Source organism: Homo sapiens, chromosome 6 (assembly GCF_000001405.40).
Source record: "Homo sapiens chromosome 6, GRCh38.p14 Primary Assembly".
NCBI classification, from domain to species: domain Eukaryota; kingdom Metazoa; phylum Chordata; class Mammalia; order Primates; family Hominidae; genus Homo; species Homo sapiens.
Window position 1 is genome coordinate 151,733,674 of NC_000006.12, and position 9,520 is coordinate 151,743,193.

Consider the following 9,520-nt stretch of genomic DNA (forward strand, 5'->3'; position numbering starts at 1 on the left):
CCAGAATCCTTCCTCCTAACCACTCTATACCATATGCTTAATTAAGAAAAAAAGAAACAAATAGGTGAGAAAAAACAATGATGTGAAGAATTTTGCTGCCCCCAGTATTAGGATTTTTTTTCTTCTTCTTGCTAGACTCTAGAGGGCCCAGATCCTGTGGAGCTGTCTCTCTGAAGGGAAGGGTCAGGCTGTTCACCCTGATTTTCCTGGAGTCACAGATAAACTTCTGCCCTCCACCGGATGCCTCTATCTTACACAATTATTTTCCTTTACAAATTTGGTTGATGACATATTCACTTGGGATAATTGGGTTGTCCCTCCTACTTTGAAACTGTGAGAGAGTTCACTCAATTTCCAACTGCGTATGAAGCTCTTGAGTCAGATTTTTTTGCCTGTAACACCTCAGCTCACACCAGTGCAGAAATGGAAGTTTTAATTGGCTGTAGGATTGAAGGGTTGGTTTGGTGCATGGTGGTATTTTAAGAAAGGCAAAGTTTTATTTAAATGAGGAATATTCTCCCTGGGTTTTTTGAGTTAGCTACTGGGCCATGCAACAGGCCTGGCTGCTTGTGAGAAAATGAGAAGGGTGATCAAGTACAAGAAGATGCAGCCAAAGAAGTGGACACAATCCACGTCAAGTTCCATCTTCTTTGTGGCAGCCATGATTCTGAAGGTCACTGAAGGGTATTTTTCCCTGAGCTGTTTTTGGAGCCTGTGCCACTGGCTTCAAATGCTGGGTCTTGGCCACCTCAGTTGCTATAAAATATGGTTATGAGTGCTTCCGCTTCCCAGCATCTAGCTGACAAAGCCCCACTTGTGCCTTGCTCAGCCCCACTTCATTGCTCCTGCCCTCTCTGGGGAGAGGGACTCACCACCTGGGTGACAAGGTTAGGGCTTCTTGCTGCACTTTTTGGCATCTTGCTGCTCCCTGTATAAGGGCAAAGCTAACCTTTTTTTTTTCTTTTCATTGAGACAGTCTCTCTCTGTCACCCAGGCTGGAGTGCAGTGGTGCGATCTAGGCTCACTGCAGCCTCTGCCTCCTGGGTTCAAGTGATTCTCCTGCCTCAGCCTCCCGAGTAGCTGGGATTACAGGCTTGAACCACCATGCCAGGCTAATTTTTGTATTTTAGTAGAGATGGGGTTTCATCATGTTGGCCAGGCTAGTCTGGAACTCCTGACCTCAAGGAATCTGCCTGCCTCGGCCTTCCAAAGTGCTGGCATTACTGGCATGAAACACCACCCCACCTCCAACCTTCAAAAGATTTAAAAAAATGTGAAAACTGAAATGAAGACTAGATACTAATGAAACATTGGACTCATTATGACTTTGTTAAGTCATTTTGATTTTATTAAAATCAAACATTAATAAAGCAGACTGTGAATAAATAAATTATATTCTTTGGCCATTTCTTCATTAGACAAGGATGCTATCTTTCATGGCTGTGTTATTGTGGGGATGGCTGATAGCTCATAGAACCAATCTAACATCCACAGATTTTTTTCATAGTTCTGGACTAGGTTTCTTAGCATAATGCGTTGTTGTGGTCCTCATGGTCTGTTGTTCTCTCTTGCCAACCTTGTTTCATCAGTCCCCTGTTGTCCTGCAGATTTTTGAAGCATTGGAATCCTAGCAACAGATTTCTCATTTAAGTAGGATGGTCCTGATCACTAGTCTCCCACAGAGAGTTGGTAAAAAGTTTTGTTCTTCTTATCACCCACAGAACTTCCCTGAAACATTTTTTGTTGTGCTTGCTCAGAAACCATAAGCTTAGTAGAAAAATGCACCTTGCTTGTGAATACACAATCAGGTGTCCAAATGAGATGGTCCCCTCCTAGAAGATAATATTTCGGAAGTCTTGCCTCAGTGGGAGGTACTTGGTTGTTTGTTTTTGTTTTTTTTTTCATTTCAATAGCTTTAGGGGTACAAGTGGCTTTTGGTTACATGCATGAATTGTATAGTGCTGAAGTCTGGGATTTTAGTTTACCCATCACTCGAGTAGTGTACTCTGTACCCAGGGTCCTTGGATTTTATGGGCTTGTTTTTGTTTGCTTTTATGTTAAGATATGAATAATATGATATGCTTTGGCTCTGTGTCCCCACTCAAGTCTTATCTCGAATTGTAATCCCCATAATCTCCACACGTCAAGGGAGGTACCTGGTGGGAGGTGATTGGATCATGGGGGGCAATTCCCCCATGCTGTTGTCATAATAGTGAGTGAGTTATCATGACGTCTGATGTTTTTATAAGTGTTTGACCATTCCACCTTCACACGCTGTCACTCTCACCTGCCGCCATGTAAGACATGCCTCTTCCCCTTCTGCCATAATTGTAAGTTTCCTGAGGCCACCCCAGCCATGTGGAACTGTTGAGTCAATTAAACCTCTTTCCTTTATAAATTACCCAGTCTCGGGTATTTCTTTATAGCAGTGTGAAAACAGACTAGCATATAATAGAAGGCTCTTTACCTTTTTAAACTTGGAAGGCCAAATTAATACTGTCCTTTCCATTATAAGAATCTTCAGATTAAATATTTTCTCATTCATTGTCCCTCAGATCATATACATTTGCTTTTTAACTCTAAGTTACATGTAATAAACAATGAAATTGTATTGTGGATCATAAACTTGAGTTTTAAAAAGATTTTTCTCCTAATTTTAAAAGTAATAAAAACAATAAATACTTACTGTATTCCAGGTAGTGTTTTTTTTTTTTTTTGAGATGGAGTTTCACTCTGTAGCCCAAGCTGTAGTGTGGTGGCGTGATCTTGGCTCACTGCAACCTCCACTTCCCGGCCTCAAGCAATTCTCCTGCCTCAGCCTCCTTGGTAGCTGGGACTACAGGCACAAGCCACCAAGCCTGGCTAATTGTTTTGTACTTTAGTCTCTACTAAACAGGGTTTCCCCATGTTGCCCAGGGTGGTCTCGAACTCCTGAGCTCAGGTGATCCACCCACCTTGGCCTCCTAAAGTGCTGGTATTACAGGCGTGAGCCACCGCGCCTGGCCCAGGTAGTGTTCTAAGGGGCATGCTTCCATTAATTCATGGAATTCACAATAACCCTTTGTTGCAGTAACTATTATTATCCCCACTTTACAGATAGGAAAGCGGTACAGTGACTGGGGCAGAGAGAGGCTCTGTGACTTTGTGCAAGCAGCAATGTAGGCATTTGAATTTCGGCACGCTGGCTCCTGAGTCCATTCTACTAAAAATTGTGCTGTATTTAATGCAGAGAATTTCAAAAACATGAGATAAAAAATAAGAGAAGAATAGCATCAATTTTCCCATCATTCAAAGGTATCTGTTAAAAGGAAACATTTAAAACTTAGCTATATATACTTTCTGAATTTGTATGTACATATAAACTTATAAAAAATGAAAATGCTAATTGTTTTCACACGTACTGTTTGGTAGCCTCCCTTTGGTATGTTCCCAGACCAAAAATTATTATTCTTCCCCATGCTTTTTTTCAGCTACATAATGTTCTATTTTATGGAAGTACATCATTTCCATAATTGAATTTCTTATTAAGACATATTATTTGCAAATCTGCAACAAATGTGCATGTTATTTTTAGACGTATGTTTGGTTATTTCTTTACGATAGAGTCCTAGAATCACCGGCTGAGGCAAGGGAGATGCACATTTGAAGCCTCTTTATTCATCTTGCCAATTGTCCTCAAGAAACATTGTTTCAAGTCCCATTAATGCAAGCAATGAACAAAAGTTTTTATTTTTCTGGATACTGGATGCCTCTGGCTTATTTTTCTTTCTATTCTGTTTCTTTAATAGACAAAACAAAAGAAAAAGTTTCTCATATCAATGTGCATTTTTTTGCGATTTGCAAAAAGTTCAAAAATTAACAAAATTTATCTATTCCTTGAGTAAATGTATGTGGTTCAAGATGTCAAAGAAACAAAGTATTGTGCAGTGGAAAATGAGTGCACCTTCAGCACCTGCCTCCCAGACATCCATCAGTAACCCTCTCAGGAGGCGACCACTGTTACCATTTCCTTGACTAGCCTTCCTAGAATAATTATGCATATACAAGCAAAGAAGGGTATAAGGGTACACACACAAATAAGCATACTACATATATTGTTTTTGCCCTTGTGTTTTTCACCTAACAATATATTTTGGAAATTATTCCATATTAATAATCAAATAATGATATTATTATTTTTGATGCCTACCTACTATTGCATTATAAGGGAATTATAAGGGAAGGGTTGCAAATATTAACATCTGTTAATTAGCTTTGGATATTTCTTCTTTTGCAAATACTTGCCAGTGTTCTTTGAGCAGTCTTAGAATTGTGGTTTTAATGTTTTGTTATTGATGATGATTTGTAAGTCTTTGCTGTGAAATAAGATGACCGACCATTGGTATTAAATGATGTAAATTTTATTTCACATTTCATTGTTGTCTTTTCAATTTTGTTTTCTGGTGGTAGGCTTATTTTGTTGTTGTTTGTTTTGTTTTGGTGTGGCTATGGAAGTCTTTTTGGGCAATCAAATCTATCAATCATTTTGATTTGATTTGTGAATGATTTTCCTGGATTTTCCTGGATGATCAGAGGCTAGTGTTGTCTCTTTGTTTACTTAGATTCTTTTGACAAGGGCTTTGGCTATTGTGAATAGTGCTAGTATGAACATGGATGTGCAAATATCTCTTCGAGACCCTGCTTTCAATTATTTTGGGTATATGTCCAGAAGTGGAATTGTTGGATCATATGGTAGTTCTATTTTTAAATTTCTCGGAAACTGCCATACTCTTTCTCATAACAGCTGCACCATTTCACAATCCCACCAACAGTGCACAAGGATTCCAATTTCTCCACACCCTCACCAATGCTCGCTATTTTTTGGGTGTTATTTTTGACAGTAGCCCATCCTAATAGGCATGAGGATCAATTGTTCTGAACATAACATTTCTGTCAGGGTTTTTAAAAAGTTTCCAAAATGACATCCCTCCAGCTCCACATATTCTATAAGAGCAATATCATAAATTAGAAGCTGTCTATGAAAACTTGTAGTTGGAAGATGTTTGTTTTCTGTGGGTTAGTTACATTTCACATATGCCTCATTTGTGAAATAATTTCTAATGTGCATGAGCTGGAATTCAATGCCTGTAGTCAAAGTAGGCTTAATTTTGAATTGGAGTTGATTAAAATGAAATGACTAATTAGCTTTATATTGACTTGGGAGTTGTCCCCTAAGGAAGGCATTGGGACAATGTTGATACTCTGATTACCTCTATTCCTACCTCTGTTAGCTTAAAATATTAGTACTGCATTCAGCACCCAGCAAGAATTTCTAGTATCTGAAGGCAGCAGGATACTTGCAGCCATTTTCAAACCATGGAATATGGATGATTGGTAGAGACTTCTCTATCTTGAGTCCCTTCTAATATTTCATGCTTTATCTTATTCATAAGAAGGGGCTTCACTAAGTAGGACTGTCTTGTCTTGACCACTAGGGGATCAAGGTTAAGTTTCTTAGTCTTGGTAATTGTCAGATTTCTAGTCTTTAAAATAGGGATAATGTCATGGAGTACCTATGTCAGAGTTGCAAGGACCAAACGAGCTAAGGCATGAAAAGCATTTAGCAAGGTCCCTGGCAAGTAAGGGCTAAATAAACATGGTGTTTCTTGATGTTATGTCTTGTAACCATTGTAATAATCTCAGTCAATCAGATTTATATCAGGGTACAGGTTCTTTTCTGGGGAATTTTTCTAGCACCAGGTATTTTCTGTTTATCTTCTATGTGGATGGCTTTTCCTTATTTCTTCTCATTGACACCAAGGGATTCCAAGTCCCATTCTGATTGTGTATTGTCAAAGTGAAAAACAGCTGTGGCCAGCAGAGCCATGACTATAACCATTTTCAAAGTCCTGTGTGTAACAAACCTCAAGGATTGATTTTTCACTAAGCCTTTCTCCTTGACTGTCAAATGACAAGCAAGGGTATGCAGATGATAACCCCGAACCCCTTTGATCCCATTTCCAAAATATGGCCATGCCATAGATGAAGGCAAATTGTTTTATTTCATCTTGTTGGCCCCATTGTGTATGCTCTAAGTTCATTTTGGACTTCTGTCTTTACTGATAGCAATTTCTATTTCTTTCAGACAGAAGCCCCTTCTTTCATACCTTTTAGTTGCATTTCTTAGCATTCTGGCCGCAGTCTTCTACTACATGGTCCTTATTTGTCATCTCTTCCCTTTCTTCCTCTCTCCATCCCTTTTTTCCATTATTCATCCAGCAATATTTATTGAGAACCAACCATGTGAGGGGCAGCACACTGGACATTGTCTTGGCTTCCTCTGTCACTGCAGATTTAATGGATCACTTTAGACTTATGCCTGTATTATTGCCAGGGTTCCCCTATGTATATTGAAACAAATAGTCTCTGGGGATCTTTCCATTTTCTGCCACTGATTTTTTCTTTCTTTTCTTTTTTTTTGAGATAGAGTCTTACTAGCTCTGTCACCCAGCCTGGAGTGCAGTGGTGCGACCTCTGCTCACTGCAACCTATGCTTCCTGGGTTCAAGTGATTCTTTTGCCTCAGCCTCCTGAGTAGCTGGGATTACAGGAGCGCACCACCATGCCTGGCTAATTTTTTTTTTTTTTTTTTTTTTGTATTTTTAGTATATACAGGTTTTTCTCATGGTGGCCAGGCTGGTCTCAAACTCCTGACCTCAAGTGATCTACCTGCCTCGGCCTCCCAAAGTGCTGGGATTACAGGCGTGAGCCACCACACCTGGCCATTTTCTGTCTCTTCTGATTGGGCTGTGTATCTGAGCTGTGTCCTGGGCCACTGTGCCATCCCACAGCTGACAAAATGGCTCTCACCTCCAGGAAACTCTTACCTCAGCATTTTTTCCTCTGTCTTGAGCTTTTCTTTTGTTCTCTGGGAATAGTCCTCTTACTTTCTTGGAGCTTCTTTAGTTATTTTTTGATCAATTTTTTTTACACAGTTTTTTGTAACGGAGCAAAATATTTTCAGAACTTGTTTCTGGCATGTGTGTGTCTGTCTCATCTATCTGCCTGTGTCTATGTTAACCGTTCTTTGAATCTGATGCCCAATATTCTATTTGATTCTGTTGATTCTGAAAATTTCTTTTTAGTCATTGGTTTAGCATTTCTACCTCTTCTCCTTAAACCCTAGGATTTTCTTTAAAAAGTGTTGGGACTGATGTTCTGTTCTTCAGATTGGCGAACATGGCTCAAAGACCACTAGTGTTTAAGCAGCAGCAGCTTTTCTATATTCTGCTTGCTGTGGGCACTTGTGATGTCCCACTGTGGCTGCCATCAGCAGAGATGTGGATCCTGGTGGTGGCTGTGTCTGCCTCCTGGCCAGCCAGCTTCCTTTATAGGGAAGAAATGCTTCCGCTTCTTACTGGGGTGTGAGAGGCGGGCCCGTCAGTCACTGCTGCTCCCTAGCACTCATAGCAATGTCCATTTTCTATCCTTTGTGCCCTGATGATAATCTTTCTGGTATCATAACTGTCTTCTCCTCCCCTTCCCTGTCTCCTCTTCCTGCTTTTTTTCTTCTTCCTCCTTCTCCTCCTCACTCCAGTATCAAGGCTTAGCTTAAATGTGTTGCACTATAAAGGCCTCATATTTTAAAAATATAATTCATTCAGTCCTCCTCTATGCCTAAGCTTATTTCTTTGTTATGGCACTTTTCATTTCATAGTATAGCTCTCTACCGAGGAGCGCATACGGGATAAGGGCAGAGTATGAGTATTTTTTGAGCCCAAAAAATAATAGTCATTTTTATTGGTATAGCTTCAAGCATAGTTCATTTACATGATTTATGTTTTAGGAAATTTCAAGTGCAGAAAAATTGCCCAGCAGTTAGAGATGATTGGGTTATCAATATGCTCCCTGTTTTTTGGTGTATTTTTTCCAGCTTTATTGAGGTATAACTTACAAATAACATTGTATATGTTTAAGATGTACAACTTGATTTTTTCAAAATTAATTATTTTTTTGAAGTAAATTTTATTGTGTATACTTAAGGTGTACAACATGACGTGATGAGATATATATAGATAATAAAATGATTACTACAGTGAGGCAAACTAACGTATCCATCATCTCACGTTGTTATCCAACACTAAAATCTACGCATGGAGCAAAAATGCGGAATACAGTACAATATGATTAACTATAGTTCTCATGTTGTAGATTAAATCTCTAGACTTGTTCATCCTATATCTGCTACTTTATAGCCTTTGATCTACATCTTCTCATTTTCTTCCCTTCCCCCAACCCTCCCCATAACCACTGTGTTATGTTCTATTTCCGTATATTTGACTTAATAAAAGATTCCATATATAAATGAGATGATGCAATTTTTTTCTGAGTCTTTGTTTATTTCACTTAGCACAATAACCTCCACCAGGCTCATCCATGTTGTGGCAAATGGCAAGATCTCATTCGTTTTTAAGGCTGAATAATATTCCATTTGTCCATTTGTCCATGAATTGTCACTTAGGTTGTTTCCATATCTTGGCTGCTGTGAATAGTGCTGCAATGAACACGGGGGTGCAGATATCTTTACGAGGTGGTGATTTCATTCCTTTGGATATATATTCAGAAGAGGGTTTTCTGGATCACAGAGTAATTCTATTCTTAATTTTTTGAGAAAATTTCATACTGTTTTCCGTAATGGCTGCAGCAATCTACACTGCCACCAACAGGGTACAGGGTTCCCTTTTCTCCACACGCTCACCAACACTTGCTATTTCTTGTCTTTTTGGTAATAGAAGGGCAGGGCATCATTAATATTGTTTCCCTTACATGTGCTGAACAAACACAGCAGAGCAGTTACCAGCGCTAACTCTGGAACTGGCTTGCTCATGCTCATCTCTTGTCCCTGCCAGTTCCTAACTGCGGAAACTTGGGCAAGTTGCTTAACCTCTCTGTGCCTTCCTTTGTTACTTGGAGCTGATAAAAATAATGCTTAGAACAGTTACTGCCATATAAAAAGTGCTATTAAGTGTTTGCTATTATGTGTTGAATTCAGCTTAATAGAATCATCATCAGGATCACCAGCAATTTATTGAGTGACAGTGTGTGTTTTATTCATTGATCGTCATTACACTTAGAATAGGGTCGGGGATATAGCAGGCATTCAATCAATATTTTTGAGGGAATGAATTAATGAATGGGCTAGATGTTATATATACAAAGAAATATGTCTAATTTCTTTCCTTCAGGTCTCACAGATGGTTGAGAATACAAGATGGAGATAAGACGAAAATTGAATGGTGCTTAATATGAAGCCCTTCAAGGCTGCCTCTTTCAGAATCATTTAGGAGGCTTATTAAAATTGCAGATTTGCTAGCCAAACTCTCCTCGATCTCAGTTCCATAGATCTGGACGTCGGTCCAAAACTCTACAGTGCCAAGAAAGCTCCCCAGGGGCTTCCGGTGAATTCCCAAGAACAGCCAGGACTGGGATCGCAGGCCAGGCAGTAAATGATACAGGAGATGAGAGGAGGGAGAGCTCTGGGG

General features: G+C 39.5%; 1 protein-coding gene across 12 annotated transcripts in view; it reads left to right on the forward strand.

Moving 5' to 3' along the window:
• Positions 1-9,520, forward strand: part of ESR1 (estrogen receptor 1) — a 472,948-nt gene that overhangs the window by 77,002 nt on the left and 386,426 nt on the right. The gene's annotated exons all lie outside the window — the stretch shown is intronic.